General features: G+C 39.3%; 2 long non-coding RNA genes across 2 annotated transcripts; one reads left to right on the forward strand and one right to left on the reverse strand.

Annotated features, from left to right (window-relative positions):
- The first annotated feature begins 18 nt into the window (after positions 1-18).
- LOC107986305 (uncharacterized) lies at positions 19-1,734 on the forward strand. The gene is made up of 2 exons (XR_001741794.2): positions 19-192; positions 576-1,734. It is a non-coding gene; the product is annotated as an uncharacterized LOC107986305 (long non-coding RNA).
- On the reverse strand, positions 1,101-18,408 carry LOC124900762 (uncharacterized). The gene is made up of 3 exons (XR_007058237.1): positions 18,338-18,408; positions 12,679-12,741; positions 1,101-1,170 (listed from the first exon to the last, which is right to left on the reverse strand). It is a non-coding gene; the product is annotated as an uncharacterized LOC124900762 (long non-coding RNA).
- Positions 18,409-19,400: the final 992 nt, after the last annotated feature.

A 19,400-nucleotide genomic window follows, 5' to 3' on the forward strand; every position in this document is an offset into this window, starting at 1 on the left:
GCTCGATCTTTCCTTTTTCTTTTCCGGGAGGTGGATGGCCAAGGCAGAGGAGGCTTTGCCAGAGAGAGAGCTGCGTGCTGCTCCAGCCCAGCGGGATTCCGGGGGATCCGCCTGGGCTACCGCGTCCCAAGAGTGTCGCCTCCTGCCCATCACCCCGCTAGAGGGAAAGGACGGCGGCGCGAATGGGGAAGGGTAAAGCGGGCACTTCTTTTCGTGGGGCTGTTGGTGAAGAGCCCCGTCTCCCATCCCTAAAGTTGCGCTTGCAAACTTTTTCTAGCTTCTGGAGGGAGTGAGAGAGAAGGAGCAGGAATAAAAACAAAATGCGTATGACACTCTTTCCTCTTTCCAACTTCCTTTGCAGGTTTTCCTTTACTAGTCCCCCCACCCCCATCATTTTCCTATTCCTTTTGTCCCTACCTTTTTTTTTTTTTTTTTCAGTAACGATGACAAATTTTTAAGTTTTATTTCCTCTCCCAATAGCTGGCTTTTACAGCCTGATTCTTCGTTACCCTTTCCCTATGTGAAAATACTGGAATTGCCCGCTCCCTCTTACCTCTCCCCTAACTTACCCACAGGGTGTCTCCAGCCAAAAGCCTGGAGAGGAAGAGTTATGCATTTCTCCTTCAAGAACCCCGAAGCCAGTCTGCATTCCTGCATTAAAGAAGCCAGTGTTTCCCATCCAGTAATTCAGGGAGCTTCATCATTTTTTTTCCTTCTTTCTTTTTTACCATGTGGAGGAAAACCATTGTAAAAACTTATCTTGGTTGTGAAAATACTCTTGATTTTACTAGAGTCATAGAGTTTTAAAGTCCTGCTCAAAGGCAGCAGAGGGATGTATAGTATAGTCTCTATAGAAGAGGCAATGAATGCCAAGAGCCACTGAGATATTTTTTTCTACCACCAAATTTATTCAACAGTTACTTACTGAATACCTACTGTGGGCTGGCACATAACATGTCAGATTCTCTCAATTGACTGAAACATAAATCTAGGTTTCATTTAGCCATTTATTTCTAATTCTCTCCTGTTGCTAAAGTTCCTGCTGAGTTCCCAGGCAAAACTTTGTGAAATGGGAACTTTGAAAGGCACGATGGTGCTCCATGAAGTTAACCTTGCTAGCTGCTGTAGGCCTTCTGGTCTCTGTTCTTCCTTGCAGCCCTTCTGGCTAAGCTGGGGAGAGATAGTCAGTTTTAGAAGCCATGTTCAGAAATGTGAGTTTAGCAATTCTGTAAATTAAGTCACCAAATATGTAATGAGAGTACTGAGTGTCAGGGGATTGAAAAGCATTGAGAGGTAGGGCCCTAGGCTTAATGGGCCTAGCCAGGTGCTTGAATGGGAAAGATGCAAACATTCTGGTCAATCTAGCCTTTTATTTGGGGAGATAGTGACTTCTTGTGACATAGCACAAGAAGTATCCATGTTCTGTGCAAGAAGGAGACACATTTTCAGTTGAGGTTCCAAGCAATAATAATAAAAAACAATCAAAATGTATGGAATACTTACCATGTGCTAACCATAGTATTCTATATACTGATACATACACACATATACAGTCGCATCTATCAGGGATTAGTTTCAGAACCCTGAGGGATACCAAAATTCATGGATGTTCAAGTCCCTTATGTAAAATGGTGCACTATGTGTATAAAACCTACATATTAATGTATCTTCTATGCTTTAAAACATCTCTATATTACTTATGATACCTAATACAATGTAAATGCTATGAAAATAGTTGTTGGACTGTATTATTTTTATTGTTGTATTGTTATTTTTTTTTCTTCTTTCCTTGAATGTTTCCAGTGTATAGTTGGTTGAGTCCCATAATGTAGACCCTGCGAATACAGAGGACTGACTGGGTATGTTTGTTTATATAGTGCTATATACAGTTTATTTCTTTTCCATCTATATCAACCTTATGAGGTATTCTTCCACTCAACAAGTATTTGGGGAGCTGGGCCAATGCTAGAGGACAGGAAGGTAATGATGCAATAAATCAGTCTCTGCTCTGTTGGAATATACACCAGAGTGAAGAAGAAATACATTCATCAATGAATCACCCTACAACTCCAATAGTTACTTACTGTATTACTTACTATACAAATGTTCTGAAAAAAGGAACATTTTCAAAGAAATTTTAAAACAAAAAACGATTTAGACTGGGTACAATTACTGGGTGAGGTGGTTCAGGGGAGTGATATTTAAACTGAGGGCATGTTATTTTGTTTGCCGTTGGCTTTCTATAGAAAATTTAGACTTAGAAATCTGACTTCAAAGCTGATGGTTTACAAAAGATATTCTTCCTACAAATGGGCTTTAAAGTCTTTGCCAGCCACATAGCACAGAGACAACACAGCTGCCAGAGTTAGAATTCTAATCCCCACATGAGGCATGCAGACACTCTACGCTCAGGATAGAAGGACTGAATTCAGGCCCTAAAAGGTCATTTCTGGATTAAACAGCACTAACCCTAAGAAAGACTAAGAACTACTAACAATTAGTAATAAGAGCCGAGAAACAAGAATGGCCATGCCACAGTAGACCAAATGAGATGTGACTCAAAGAGGAAAATCAAAGTCAGCTGAGTGCCCTACCCACAGTAGGTAGGACTTATTTCACATCCCTGAGGAAGACACGGGGAATGACATCAGAGTCTATTGAACACCCTAAGCTTTATAGTTTATATACTGGTATTATAAGTACATATGCTTTGCATTTCTCATTATAGGTTTGGGTTTCATGCGCTGTAAGCAACAGTTTTAGTGTTCTCATGAAGTGTCCAGTTAAAGACCCTCTGTAACTTACTAGATCTTTCCTGATTTTAGAATCAGCATTTTAGTATTCAGGCATCAGCTGCCCTTAGGCTTATTTCAGCTTGAATATGCTTATATTACACATAAACTGTAGTTGTGGAATGGTTATATAAAAATTTAAGCTGTTATTTGATTCAGAAAAAAAAGGAAAGAAAAATAGAATTGCCTAGAAATGAAATCTGTATGGACTGAGTATTCAAGTAAGGGTTAATCAGGAGGTGAGGTGAAGCTATGCCTTAAAGTATGATAAAAATTTAGGAAGGAGGAGAGAAAGTTAAAGGAAGGATATTTCAAATTAAAGAAAAGAGAAAGCCAGTTTGCTGAACACATGTTTGGATTGGAAGATTATGGGAAACAATGTTAGGAAATTCAGGTGACACCAGATATGAGGGACTTTGAAAAAGTATGAAGAGCTGGAACTTGATTCTGAGGTCATTAGGAGGAATGAAATCCTTTGAGTAGAACATAACATGACAAACTATTTTAGTGAGGTGATTTCTGGGATGGATTTATAGGGATAGAAGTTACAAATGAGCTGCTTCAGTCCATCAAAATTTGAAGAGTTGTAACTTTACTCTGAGAGTACTGAACCTGTTGACTTCTTATTGGGTTTTTTTTTTTCTTGATTAGAGTAAGACATGATGAAAAATATAGGAAAAGAATTCCCAGGACATTTTCAGGGAGAGACTTGAGGGAGTAAAGACTAGAATCACACAATTGCCACGGTGTGTAAAAACTGTACAGCAAAATATTCCTTAGGTTAAAAAACTATGCTTTGGTTTTGTTACCTGATGGGAGAAGAGCATTTATTAAAAACTTAGATTTAATCAACTAAGAGGGGGGCAAAAGGGACAAAAGAATAAGGGACCCAAGATAGGACCTTGTTTAATTGGATAATAGAAAAGAATGAGTAGGTTAAATTGGGAGAATGGCCGTTAACAAAAAGGGATGGTATGAATAAGGCACAACAGGGTGCCCGGGGTTCCTCAAGGGACAGACCAAGGGTACTGGATGCCCAGAGGTTGGAGGGTGGAGTGACGGATTGGGTATGGGGAGCCTGTCAGTCAACATAAAAGCTAAGAAAATCACAAGCAAGCAGTAAAGTGGGTAGCTAAACAGTATTTCTTTGAAACATCGATGTTAAATCTCACCGTTAAAATGACATTTCCCACAGCCTCCCAATATGCATGGACTGAATAGCTTATGAATTTCATATACCTAAAAAAATATTTGAAGGTATGCCTAGTAGGACAGCATGCCTGCCACACCATTCCCATTTCTTCTGTAGGTACTTATTTTCAGCTAAACATATACTCAAATTTCAAAAAGATACAGCTAAGTGTAGGTTTAAAAATAGTGAAAACAGCCAATCCAGAGATTTACAGACTATTAAAAAGATTTAAAACCCGATTGCTGCTTGGTTGCATTTATAAGTACATTAAATACTCAAAATGAAGGAATGTCACTGTGTTTAAATTAATACACAAATAGTCTAAAACAGATGTTTACCCTAATATGATCATTTTGACATGAGATATAATATGACATGACATATAATAAACTCCTTATTAAGTATTATTAACTCTTTACTAGGCTATGGAACTTAGGCTGCTTTGAGCCATTAAGTTATCACAAGCAACATCCACTTTCTGATCACGACCAAGTAGGATGGCTAACTTGCTGGTTTAGTAAATGTTAAGTTGAGTTTGCTTCCGATATGGTTTGGCTGTGTGCCCACCCAAATCTCATCTTGAATTGTAGCTCCCATAATTCTCATGTGTCATGGGAGGGACCTGGTGGGAGATAATTGAATCATGGGGGAGGGTCTGTCCCGTGTTGTTCTCATGACTGTGAATAAGTCTCACAAGATCTAATGGTTTTATAAAGGGGAGTTCTCCTGCACATACTCTCTTTCCTGCTGTCATGTAAGCCATGACTTTGCTCCTCCTTGGCCTTCCACCATGACTGTGAGGCCTCCCCAGCCATGTGGAACTGTGAATCAGTTAAACCTCTTTTATTTATAAATTACACAGTCTCAGGTATGTCTTTATTAGTAGCATGAGAACAGACTAATATAGTAAATTGACACCAGAAAAGTTGGATGCTGCTGTAAAGATACCTGAAAATGTGGAAGCAACTATGGAACTGGGTAACAGGAAGAGGTTGGAACAGTTTGGAGGGCTCAGAAGAAGACATGAAAATGTGGAAAAGTTTGGAACTTCCTAGAGACTTGTTGAATGGTTTTGACCAAAAATGCTGATAGTGATATAGACAATGAAGTCCTCATTGAGGTGGTCTCAGATGGAGATGAAAAACTTGTTGGGAATGGAGTAAAGGTCACTCTTGCTATGCAAAGACACTGGCAGCATTTTGCCCCTACCCTAGAGATTTGTGGATCTTTGAACTTGAGAAAGATGATTTAGAGTATCTGGGGGAAGAAATTTCTAAGCCACAAAGCATTCAAGAGGAAGTAGAGCATTAAAGTTTGGAAAATCTGCAGCCTAACTATGCAATAGAAAAGTAAAACCCATTTTCTGGGGAGAAATTCAAGTCTGCTGCAGAAATTTGCACAAGTAACAAGGAGCAGAATGTTAATCACCAAGACAATGGGGGAAATGTCTCCAGGGCATGTCAGAGACCTCTGTGGCAGACCCTTCCATCACAGGCCTGGAGGCCTAGGAGGAAAATATGGTTTCCTGGGCTAGGCCCAGGGCCCCCCTTTCTGTGTGCAGCCTCAGGACATGGTGCCCTGTGTTCCAGCTGTATCAGCTCCAGCTGTGGCTAAAAGGGGCCAACATACAGCTCAGGCTGTTCTACAGACAGTGCAAGCCCCAAGCTTTGGTGGCTTACACGTGGTGTTGGGCCTGTGGGTACACAGAAGTCAAGAATTGAGCTTTGGGAACCTCCACCTAGATTTCAGAGGATGTATGGAAATGCCTCGATGCTGCAGGCATGGACCCCTCAGGGAGAACCTCTGCTAGGGCAATGTGGAAGGGAAACGTGGGGTTGGAGCCCCCACACAGAGTCCCCACTGGGGCATGGCCTAGTGAATCTGTAAGAAGAGGACCACCGTCCTCCAGACCCCAGAATGGTAGATCCACTGAGAGCTTGCACCATGTGCCTGGAAAAGCTGCAGACACTCGATGCCAGCCTCTGAAAGCAGCCAGGAGTGGGACTGTACCCTGCAAAGCCACAGGGGTGGAGCTGCCCAAGGCCATGGGAGCCCACCTCTTACATCAACGTCCTCTGGATGTGAGACACGGAGTCAAATGAGATCATTTTGGAACTTTAAGATGGAATGACTGTCCTGTTGGAATTTGGACTGGCATGGGGCCTATAGCCTCTTTGTTTTGGCCAATTTCTTCCATTTGGAACTGTTACATTTACCCAATGCCTGTACCCCTATTGAATGAAGTAACTAACTTGCTTTCGATTTTACAGGCTCATAGGCAGAAGGGACTTGCCTTGTCTCAGTTGAGACTTTGAACTGTGAACTTTTGAGTTAATGCTGAAATGAGTTAAGACTTTTGGGGGCTGTTGGGAGGCATGATTGCTTTTAAAATGTGAGGACATGAGATTTGGGAGGGGCCAGGTTTGGAATGATATGATTTGGCTGTGTCCGCACCCAAATCTCATGTTAAATTGTAGCACCCATAATTCCCATGTTTCATGGGAGGGACCCAGTGGGAGGTAATTGAATCATGGGGGCAGCTCTTTCCTGTGCTGCTATCTCATGATAGTAAATAAGGCTCATGATCTCTGATGGTTTTATAAAGGGGAGTTCCTCTGAATACACTCTCTTGCCTGCTGGCATGTAAGACATAACTTTGCTCCTTATTCGCCTTCTGCCATGATTGTGAGGCCTCCCTAGCCACGTGAAACTGAGTCCAGTAAACCTCTTTCCTATATGAATTACCCAGTCTCAGGTATGTCTTTATTAGCAGCATGAGAATAGACTAATACAGCTTCCTTTTTTTGGAAAGTCTCTGTTGATTAGTAACAGTAATAATTTGTCAAGAAAAGATGAATGATGTGGGAGAATTAAAGTTCCAAACATGTATAAATGTAGCTACCCAAAAGCAGCAAGGTTTTTGACATCAGAAACTCAGACAATTTAAACTGTCAAAAAGATCTTTCTTTCATTCAACAAACATCTTTACCCAAAAGCAGACTTTTAAACAAAATTTTTATGATGAGAAAATCCTAAAATTTCTACATTTTAAAAATCCACTCCTATTGCTTAAATTGTAAATAAAATTCTATATTATTTACATAGAAATTTTCTGTTTAGACTATCAAGTCCTGAACCTATCTGGACATTAGAATCCATTCAGGATCTTTTTTTTTTTTTTTTTTTTTTTTTTTTTGAGACAGAGTTACACTCTTGTTGCCCAGGCTGTAGTGCAATGGTGCAATCTCAGCTCACTGCAGCCTCCATCTCCTGGGTTCATGTGATTCTCCTGCCTCAACCTCCCCAGCAGCTGGGATTACAGGTGCCCGCCACCATGCTCAGCTAACTTTGTATTTTTAGTAGAGACGGGGTTTCACCATGTTGGGCAGGCTGGTCTCAAACTCCTGACCTCAGGTGATCTGCCCATCTCAGCTTCCCAAAGTGTTGGGATTACAGGAGTGAGCCACCATGTCTGTCCTAAGGATCTTTTTTTAAAAAAGAAAATTCCCAGACCCAAGACCTAAATCAAAATACCCATAGTCTGCAACTATTTATGTTACAGATAGTGCTGCAGATGATCCTGTGTGTGTTGAGTTTTGAAAACCACTGATTTACAATTTAAATCATGAAAAAGTTTTAATTGGACTGCTTACTTGGTAAAGACGGAGTCATTTACCAAATGCAATATGAGAAACAGCTGAAAAACAAATGGGCAAGCTAGAGTCGAAACATCTGAGGGCTGAGCACCTAATTTCTGTCAGATGGCAGGAAGCAGCAAGGTTGAGATATGGCCAAGTCACCAGGATCAAGAAAAGAAGGGAGAGGCATTAAAGCCTAAGTGGGTGGATGCCAGAGGCAACAGTCCATGCAGGCATTGCTGAATTCAGATACATTCAAACAAAAGACCAGGAAACGAGCTAAATTCTAAATCCAGCTGCTCCAAAGTGAAGTCTTTAGGCAAGATTCCTGGCATTCTCCTTGTGGCATGGGCCAGAGGTGGGAGGCACCAACCTCTTGAGATTAAAGTGGGCTGCTGTCTAGTTTCAATGGGTCTAGACAGATGTGGAATCCAGGGTCAGGCTAATCCATAAGAGTAAGTGCCTGATGTGGCATCCAGGAAGCAGTAAAACTAAGCTTCATAAGTGAAGAAGAAATAAAATACTTTACAGACAAGCAAATGCTGAGAGATTTTGTCACCACCAGGCCTGCCCTACAAGAGCTCCTGAAGGAAGCACTAAACATGGAAAGGAACAACCAGTACCAGCCACTGCAAATACATGCCAAATTGTAAAGACCATCAAGGCTAGGAAGAAACTGCATCAACTAATGAGCAAAATAACCAGCTAACATCATAATGACAGGATCAAATTCACACATAACAATATTAACTTTAAATGTAAATGGGCTAAATGCTCCAATTAAAAGACACAGACTGGCAAATTGGATAAAGAGTCAAGACCCATCAGTGTGCTGTATTCAGGAAACCCATCTCACGTGCAGAGACACACATAGGCTCAAAATAAAGGGATGGAGGAAGATCTACCAAGCAAATGGAAAACAAAAAAAGGCAGGGGTTGCAATCCTAGTCTCTGATAAAACAGACTTTAAACCAACAAAGACCAAAAGAGACAAAGAAGGCCATTACATAATGGTAAAGGGATCAATTCAACAAGAAGAGCTAACTATCCTAAATATATATGCACCCAATACAGGAGCACCCAGATTCATAAAGCAAGTCCTTAGTGACCTACAAAGAGACTTAGACTCCCACACAATAATAATGGGAGACTTTCACACCCCACTGTCAACATTAGACAGATCAACGAGACAGAAAGTTAACAAGGATACCCAGGAATTGAACTCAGCTCTGCACCAAGCAGACCTAATAGACATCTACAGAACTCTCCACCCCAAATCAACAAAACATACATTCTTTTCAGCACCACACCACACCTACTCCAAAATTGACCACATAGTTGGAAGTAAAGCACTCCTCAGCAAATGTAAAAGAACAGAAATTATAACAAACTGTCTCTCAGACCACAGTGCAATCAAACTAGAACTCAGGATTAAGAAACTCACTCAAAACCACTCAACTACATGGAAACTGAACAACCTGCTCCTGAATGACTACTGGGTAAATAATGAAAGGAAGGCAGAAATAAAGATGTTCTTTGAAACCAACGAGAACAAAGACACAACATACCCGGATCTCTGGGACACATTCAAAGCAGTATGTAGAGGGAAATTTATAGCACTGAATGCCCACAAGAGAAAGATCTAAAGGATCCTTCCACAAAGGAAAGATCTAAAATTGACACCCCAACATCACAATTAAAAGAACTAGAAAAGCAAGAGCAAACACATCCAAAAGCTAGCAGAAGGCAAGAAATAACTAAGATCAGAGCAGAAATGAAGGAAATAGAGACACAAAAAACCCTTCAAAAAATTAATGAATCCAGGAGCTGGTTTTTTGAAAAGATCAACAAAATTGATAGACCACTAGCAAGACTAATAAAGAAGAAAAAAGAGAAGAATCAAATAGACACAATAAAAAATGATAAAGGGGATATCACCACCGATCCCACAGAAATACAAACTACCATCAGAGAATACTACAAACACCTCTACACAAATAAACTAGAAAATCTAGAAGAAATGGATAAATTCTTCGACACATACATCCTCCCAAGACTAAACCAGGAAGAAGTTGAATCTCTGAATAGACCAATAACAGGCTCTGAAATTGAGGCAATAATCAATAGCTTACCAACCAAAAAAAGTCCAGGACCAGATGGATTCACAGCCGAATTTTACCAGAGGTACAAAGAGGAGCTGGTACCATTCCTTCTGAAACTATTCCAATCAATAGAAAAAGAGGGAATCCTCCCTAACTCATTTTATGAGGCCAGCATCATCCTGATACCAAAGCCGGGCAGAGACACAACCAAAAAAGAGAATTTTAGACCAATATCCTTGATGAACATTGATGCAAAAATCCTCAATAAAATACTGGCAAACCGAATCCAGCAGCACATCAAAAAGCTTATCCATCATGATCAAGTGGGCTTCATCCCTGGGATGCAAGGCTGGTTCAATATATGCAAATCAATAAATGTAATCCAGCATATAAACAGAACCAAAGACAAAGACCACATGATTATCTCAATAGATGCAGAAAAGGCCTTTGACAAAATTCAACAACCCTTCATGCTAAAAACTCTCAATAAATTATGTATTGATGGGACGTATCTCAAAATAATAAGAGCTATCTGTGACAAACCCACAGCCAATATCATACTGAATGGGCAAAAACTGGAAGCATTCCCTTTGAAAACAGGCACAAGACAGGGATGCCCTCTCTCACCACTCCTATTCAACCTAGTGTTGGAAGTTCTGGCCAGGGCAATTAGGCAGGAAAAGGAAATAAAGTGTATTCAATTAGGAAAAGAGGGAGTCAAATTGTCCCTGTTTGCAGATGACATGATTGTGTATCTAGAAAACCCCATCATCTCAGCCCAAAATCTCCTCAAGCTGATAAGTAGAACATATTATACACCAATAATAAATACTGGTTAATGAAAGAAAGGAGAGACAAAAAATAAATCTCATGCTATATGAAAATAATATGTGAACATAAACTTTTCAAAATGAAATAAAGGGTAAGCATTCTGAGTAATAAACAACATTTGAATAAATGTGTTGATATGTGTTGCATAATTGTGTAGATTTCAGGGTAAAGCCCTGTTTTCTTTCCAAGCTCATTTGTACTTATTAATACTTTGACACTTTGGAACTGTATCTTTGTTAATGCCTGTGAATTCACATATAAGAAAAAAGCATTAGTTATCTATTCCCAGAGACCTTATCCTAAAAAAATTGATCCGCATCTTATAGCACATGCCAAAAGAAAAACATATCTAGTTGAAATTGGAAAGCTAAATGAAAAAATATCAAATTAAAGAAACCCAACAGAAAATTTAATTGAAATATATGTGGGTAAACTGTTCTATTTTCAGTTTTTAAATGATACAGAAATTTCAATAGCACATGATTGATTATAAAATACATTAAATAGACTATTAAATCAAAAGTCTTAACTGAGGTGCCAAGATTCAACGCTGTGATTTTCCAAAGAAGTGTGCCAGAACAAGGTGCCAATTTTCAAAGATTATTAAAAACCAGTTGGACAACTCTGAAAATTCCTATTCATATCAAGGTAATAAAAGGGTCACATCACAGAGGATTTGTGAGAGACATTTTTTAAAAGTTAATGTGCCCTGAGTACACCTACACCTGCCTACATAGTCCAAGATGGAAGGTGCTGACCTGACCCATGAAATTCAAGTGGCATCTGGCTTCTGCCTAGGAAAGCCTCAGGACTGGCTGCTGCTGAAGCACAGGAAGGGAGGAGGTTACAGAAGCTGGGTAGCTCTCCACGAGTTTGTCGGGGTGAAGGATACTTGAGTGTTCCCTGGAAACCAGGTGTGGGCCACATGTGAAAAAAGCTGGCCTGGGGTTGCCTTCGGTCCTGTGCAGGAGGGCTTCTTGCAATCTTGAACAGACCTCTACAAAGAGAATCAAGGGTAGTTCTCCACTCTAAAGTGTTGACTCCACAGAATATGCTTGGAGATACCTTGTCCCATTTCAAGGGAACTGTAGATAGGAGATGCTCAGAGGTTGGTGGGGAGCCTGTATTCAAAAGATCACCTTTGTACACCTACCAGCCCCAGAGTGCACCATATTGGTCATATAAGAACTTTTGTCTCTGTCTGCACATTGATCCTGGAGGAGGAGAAGTTCAAGTTAACAAGCTAGGAAATACTAGGAAAGCCTCAGGACTGGCTGCTGATGAACCAGAGGAAGAGAGGCAGTTACAGAAGCTGGCTGGCTCCTCATGAGGTTGTCAAGCTAGGGAAGGAGGAGTAGCAATACTAGGCAGAGAAAGGTAGACATACTCTAGTTTTCCACACTGAAGTAGTACTGACCTGGGAAAGAATAAAATATTTACTTTAACTAAATTCTACAGTTTTTATAATGATATCTTTTTGGACATCCGAATTCTAAATTGAGATCAGGTTTTGTGATGTTCAGCAACCATGAGATCATTTGTTGGTTGAGAGTGACTCCAGAAGTCTCAGAGGTCAGAGAAGTCAGGCCCACAGAATTTAGTGTGACATTGAGAAATAAAAACAAAGATGCTCAAATAACTGGTTTTGCTTGTTCAGTGTAACAATTAGATATAAAGTTTTTAGTTGTATGAAAATTAATTTAAAAACTAAACCTAAAAAGGAAAATAAACTGGAAAAATATTTCCAGGAAATTAACAAAGAGTTTAATATGTATTTCATAAAAAATTCATTTAAATTTATAAGAAAAATATCTTAACCACAATAAATATGTAAAGAGCTTGAGCAAACAATTAATGCAAATAGAAATGAATAAAAAAGTAAAAATATGTATCTTATAATTAAAGAAATATAAAATAAGCAAATTTATGGCATATACTTATATCTAGTAAGTTAGTAGAAATAATGGTATATGATATGTAATACTGGTAATATTGGAGTGAAACCAACTATTTACTGAGAACATTGGTTTGATACAGTCCTTTTAAAAATAACATAGCAATAATCACAAATAATACAAACATCTCTATACATTAGCTTAGTAATAACATCCTTTGACATTTACCTCAAGAAAATGATTCAGCAGAATTCAAGGGTATATTCATGAATGTGGTCATGATTAAACCATCTATAATAGAAAATATAGAAATAACCTTAATATTTGGTAAACATTAAGATGGCAAAAAAGAAGTAACCTTAATATTAAATAATAGGAAATGAATTAATTTGATGTGATGCTATGACCATTAGAAGTGATCATTTTGAATAAACAAACCTAAAATATGCTTATAATGTAATACATATGGAAACTGAAAAAGATATTTTGTATATCAGAACTATAACATATATTAAATATATGTTAACTATATAAGACATACATATTTATTTCTACTTGAGATATATATAGTTTCAAATTGGTAATTTTGAATAATTGGCAGAGACAGTGTTAAACAGAATAGGGGATGATACAAACGTAAGGAAAAAATAATAAAATTCACTGGATGGGTGAAGTTTGTTTCACAGGACACAGAGAAAAGGGAAACCTGAGAATTCTAAATCTGATGTGGTTTCATGGCCCAGCTCTCTGTTTTATGTCTTTGAGATATACGGCAATTTACTTAACTTTTCTGAACTTCAGTGACCTCAAGTAAATATAAAGAGTTACTGAATTCAAGCCTTAAAATTATATTCTTTGATTTCCTTTTATATTCCTTTCTCTCTCCTTAATAAAGGAAAGTGCAGGATTTCTAGGGCAGAAGCCAGTTGGACTCCAGTTACACTGATGAAGTCAGAGAGATTTCAAACAGAAGCCAACTGAGAAATTGATCTTTTCAAAGACTAACACATCATAGTCTCATGGTAAAATGACATATATGTATTCACCTACATTTACATACCTTTTTTTGTTAACAGAAACCTTCACATTTTGTAAAGCTATCACTTATTTCCTTAATTGAAAAATAAAAGGGTTGTTGAAGACCAAGTTCAAATTCTAGTTTGAATTAGATGGTATATTTAGAAGAAAGGGACGGTATATTTCCCTTCAGAATGATCTGGAGGCCTGGTTCAAGATTCAAATACCTGGGCTTGCTGGAGTTCCACATCATGAGTTGGTGGTTCCGGTGGTAGGGCAACAGCCCATGCTCACTTCTTTCTCTTTCTGTCCCTGCTCTGCATCTCCTGAGGCCTTTGGATCCAAAGGCATAACATAACCTAGACCACATGTCCAAACTTTCCTACCACCCCACCATCCCTGCCCCAGACAGTCCCCTCTTGTTCTCTTCTTGATCCAGGGAGCAGACAATAGCTGTGTGGTCCCTCTCAGGGGGACAGACCTGGAAAAGGGAACTGTGTATAAAATATTGGAGTCTCAGATATTAAAAATGTGATCTAGAAGGCGGCATGTTTACTCTGTGCTCTTTGCCTTCTGGGGAGAAACAGGACTGGAGGAGGGACAGAAAGTAGCCCCTCTATAGGGTGGGACATGGGGCAAGTGTCCTTCTTGCCCAAGTCTAAAGTCCTGTTGCTGGATCCTTAATTGATTAACCTCTTTAGTTGCTTAACCTCCTACTTAGCTCCACTTTAACCACCCTTAGGCTCAGTTTCACTTTGGGCCTCCTAATCTCTCAAAATGGAAAATCTTTGCTCATGCCTTTCCTCTACTTTCATTCCTATCAGACCAGTGGATGATATTTCCTTTATTAACTTATGCAGGCAGGCCTTTCTGCTATGCATTCACTCAACTCAGCCACACCCTCCCCAAACTCTCTCAATCAGTTTCTGAGATATGCTGCTGTCTTTGTTCTTTTCTTCCTCCTACCTTGCTCTTCATTTTATTATTTCCATTTAAGGTCCACCATGAGTCAGTCATTGGAGATAAATACAGCAGGACATAAGACAAACATGGCCCATGCTTCATGGAGATCACAGTTTACTGGGGGAATGGATATTAAGTAATTAGATACAATTCTGATGAGTGCTGTGAAGGTGATGTACAAAGTTATATGAGAGTCTAAAACAGGGTCCTAACATAATGTGGGAGCAATTGCACCTCAACTTTAGGTAAACAATCCTATTTCCTTTACTTTGGTTTCCATGCTGCTGCATATTCCTTGATTTAATGCTACTACTCAATCACAGCTGGGTCGTCCTTGCTACTTAATGATTTTGAAGTTTCACTCTCACAGGTTTTGTAAGAACTAAAGAACGGCTAAGGCTGGGCGCCGTGGCTCACACCTGTAATCGCAGCACTTTGGAAGGCCGAGGTGGGTGGATCACCTGAGGTCGGGAGTTCGAGACCAGCCTGACCAACATGGAGAAACCCTGTCTCTACTAAAAATACAAAATTAGCCGGGTGTGGTGGCACATGCCTGTAATCCCAGCTATTCAGGAGGCTGAGGCAGGAGAATCGCTTGAACCTGGGAAGCAGAGGTTGCAGTGAGCCGAGATCACGCCATTGCACTCCAGCCTGAGCAACAAGAGCTAAACTTCATCTTAAGAAAAAAAGAAGAAAGGCTAAAATGTAATCAATGTAAAATAGGCTGTGATGTAATTCATGCTTACATGCATGTGGTAATCTCATACCAAAAGGATATAGCTAAATTTAATACAGAGAACACACAGATTTGTTTTTCTCCTCATTTTGGAGCCTTGCTACTCTAAGCTTCTATCTATGCCTAGTGAAATATCTCCTAAGAATCATCACATCTATTTGTCTTGATTTATTTCATATAAATTGACCTTTTGTTAGCATTCATAGTACAAGGAAAATAAAAAGCAGTTACCTTCGATAGTGTATTAGTCCGTTCTCACGCTGCTATAAAGAAATACCCAAGACTGGGTAATTTATAAAGGAAAGAGGTTTAATTGACTCACAGTTTCACATGGCTGGGGAGGCCTCAGGAAACTTACAATCATGGTGGAATGCAAAGGAGAAGCAAGGACCTTCTTCACATGGCGGCAAGAGAGAGAAGAGTGAAGGGGAAAGAGCCCCTGATTAAACCATCAGATCCCATGAGAACTCACTCACTATCACGAGAACAGCATGGGGAAACCGCTCCCATGATCTAATCACCTCCCATCAGGCTCTCTCCCTAGACACGTGGGGATTATGGGGATTATAATTCAAGGTGAGATTTGTGTGGGGACACAGCCAAACCATATCAAATAGCAAGTGCAATCTGTCTGGCTACTGAAAAGACATATCCATTACCAAATAACAAATTGGCATTCTGATTTGTTTTCGTTTTTTAGAGACAGGGTCTCATCCTGTCACTCAGGCTGGAAAGCAATGGCACAATCATAGCTCACTGAAACCTGGAAATCCTGGGCTCAAGTGACCCTCCCAACTTGGCCTCCTGAAGCACTGGGATTACAGGTGCAAGCCACCACACCTGGCCACATTCTGATTTTTAAAATCATTTTCTTATAGTTTTAGTGTAAATTGCTTACACATAAATTTTTTACCTGCTTATGCTTATATGAAATAATGCAATAGAACTAGAACTTCTGACCCTAAAATGCTAAGAATGTATCATGGATCCATGTTAATATTACTGACCTATAAAACTAACATGAGCTGTTAAGTTTTAAGTTTACTCTGAAATTGCTTCTTCTAAAACTGTATCAACTATGGATACTAAGAAAGAAGAGAATGAGGAGTGGGGAAGAGGAGGAGAAGGGAAAAGAGGAAGAAGAAGAGGAGGAGGGAAAAGAGGAAGAAAGAGAAGAGGAGGAGGGAAAAGAGGAAGAAGAAGAAGAGGAGGAGGGAGAAGAGAAGGAGGATAACTAAAAGAGTTTCTAAGTAATGAAAAGAAGTTGTGCCTAACTTTGCTCCATATGTAATTTAAAACATCAAGATACTGTGCCATCATAAGTATAAGGAAATTCAACTAAGTGCAGATTTTTCCATTATAACCACATAAATGCTTTTTGAAATATCAAAAATTTCATTTTCCCTTCAAGATTTGTAACATCTTATCCTTTTTTTTTTTTGGCTTTGTCTCCTGTGCAAACTGGTTATAAATTCTTCCCATCTCTGTGTGCAGCTGCTTTGCAAAACTCCTCCTGTCAGGAGATGGCATTTATTTTTCCACTTCTTGAATCTGGGCTTGACCATTTGTCTCATTTTGGCTGATGGGACATGAGTAAACTTGCAAGTAGAGGTTTAAAAAGTGCTTGTACTTTGAGATTTGGCATTTCTGTTTTTGTTTTTCAGAATCTGGAGACAACTGTGGGTAGAAACCAGGGCTAGCCTATGGGAGGATGAGAGACAACATGAGACATGGATGAGTTGTCCCTTGTCTCAGAGATGAGGCTCATTAGGCCTAGCCAGCCTGCTAATGGCTATGAATGAAGTCACCCCAGACCACCACCCCAGCTGAGTCACACTAGGTGATCAGAGAGATTCAGCAAGTTGGCCCAGGGTAGAAGAATTGCCCTGTTTACTCACAGAATCACCATATAAACTGGTGGTTTTTTACGCTGCCCAGCTTGGGTGGGGTTGTTATTCAGTACCCGTCCTCCTGCTGAGTGGGAAGTTTGGCTCTGGCTGTGCCCAGGTTACGACACAGACATCTACCTGACAGCAAAGGGTCAGCATCGGTGGAGGCTCATCCTAAAGGAGGAACCTCCTGAGGTGAGAAGGGGAATACCAATAAGAACTGATTCCAGGGACCAGAGTGAGGAGAAAATAGAGTGGAATGGTTTCTTTGAAAGTAGATGCAAAACTCCTTTGAAAGAAGATGCAAAAAGAAGAACTTGTAAGACAAATGAAAAATCCCATCCAGAGAAAAGGCTTCTGGGAATGGAAGTAATAACATACTGAACTGGGAAGAAACTTTGTTCTGATCTTTATCTTTGTAAAATAATAAAATGATCCTTTTTTGAAAGAGATTCCTTTAATATGATATATAGAGTTTCAACCCACATCTGCCACATGGTGGATATTTAGTAAATATTTGTGGAAAAGAAGTGAATTCAATGGACATGTTTCTACTGGGATACTCCAAGATTAGTAATAGTAAGTTGTGCAATACTCTCCATTTAAAAATATTGTATATCATATTTATTTGGGTTGGAAACACTATTCAGTCTTCGTAATATCTTGCTTTAAGAGAGTTCAAATTACCATATAGACTTTTTCCCCCCAGAGAACACTAATTGGGCATAGGGAATGAGATGCAGTTGTAAAAGCATCATTCACAGTACCTGGCAGGATGTGATGTGCTCATTGTACCTCTAACAAGTATTGAATGGCTTATTGGTGCCAGGGACTGTTTTCTTTGTGTTATGTATGTATTAACACATTTAATCCTTGCATCAGCCCTATGAATAGGTAATATCTTTACCTCCATTTTATAATTAAGGGATCTCAGCCAGAGGGAAGTTATTTACACAGCTAATGTATTGGAATAGGGATTTGAACCCAGTCAGTGTGGCTTCCAAGCCACTCCTCAAAAACCAACAATTTTTTAGTACTTCTTATTTGAGGAATTTGCTAAGGTTTTAATGGGTAAAAGTCAAGTCATTCAATTCTCATAATTTCTCTCTAAGGTACTATTGCTATTTGCACTTTACAGCAGGTGCTCAAAATGTGCTGATTGTGTGCCCTGCCTTTTTCTTTTTGCCCCTTGCCCTTATTTGCCCTCTCTGTTCATGATTCTGCAGTGACTGAAAGAGAGTCTGTCTCCCAGGATGCTCAGCCTCGATCTTTGCACACTCACCTGAGCTGCCTGGCGCCATCCTGTGTGGTTTCTGGCTTGGGCCTGATGCTCTCTGGTGATCGAGCTTGTCCCTTTTTGCTACGTACAGGCCCAGCCAGGCCTAGCAGCAGGAGTGTACTTATGTAATGTAGGAAGACCCCACCCAGACTCATTAAACCTGGAAACAGCTGGTAACTATTTCCATGTATCTGCTTCAGGATAAGCAAAGGCAGGCTAGGAATTGTTATGTGACTTTCTCGAAGTATATAGCAAATCATTGCCTAAGTGATAATAAAAGTATGGGCCTCTTGCCTTGGCTTCCATGCTTGCTTTTTTATTATGTCATGCTTTTATTATTATTATTTTAAAGTACGTGTCTTCCTTGTTATGTGATCATATATTAACCAGAAGAGTTTAATTTAGAAAAAAATTTAAAGCACAGCATTTTATAGGTAAATTATTAGGTCAATTCTTACACTTAGTTCAGAAGGAATTTAATTTTCAAAAAGCAAGTTGAATTGTCAAGGAATATGCTTTCTATGATGATGAAAGTCTTGGGGAGTACCCCTCCTTCCCTTCCCTGTTCAGCCCCTCATCCCAGCCTCTTAGGAAGCATTTAATCTTAAATCACTGGGTCAACTGAAGCAATAAGACTGTGGTTTGGCAACACTAAAACAAATGCAGATGTTTTAGAACATTTCTTGCCCAAACTAGGGAATGCTTATTTCGCTGATAAGGTTTTAGAAATACTTTTTAAAACAGTATTTCATATTTTAAAATGTGGCTTGTCAAATTTTTATATTAAAATAATCCCATGAGAAATATGTTGATTACTTCATTGATTTAAATATTACTGTAATTGATATAATTTCCTTTTAATATCAAAGATCTGGTTCATAGAAATAAATTTATGGGAAATGTTTCCCCTTGTGATTATCTTGTGCTTTCTTGCCGCAATAAATAAGAAAACAGATTTTCTGCAGATGTTTCTATTAGCATATTGAGTATTCTGAGCCACAAAGTCTGACTTAAGTTTAATTAAAAATATCCACCTTAAAAACCCTTGGGAATAAGTTGAATATAT

Source organism: Homo sapiens, chromosome 4 (assembly GCF_000001405.40).
Source record: "Homo sapiens chromosome 4, GRCh38.p14 Primary Assembly".
Taxonomy (NCBI): domain Eukaryota; kingdom Metazoa; phylum Chordata; class Mammalia; order Primates; family Hominidae; genus Homo; species Homo sapiens.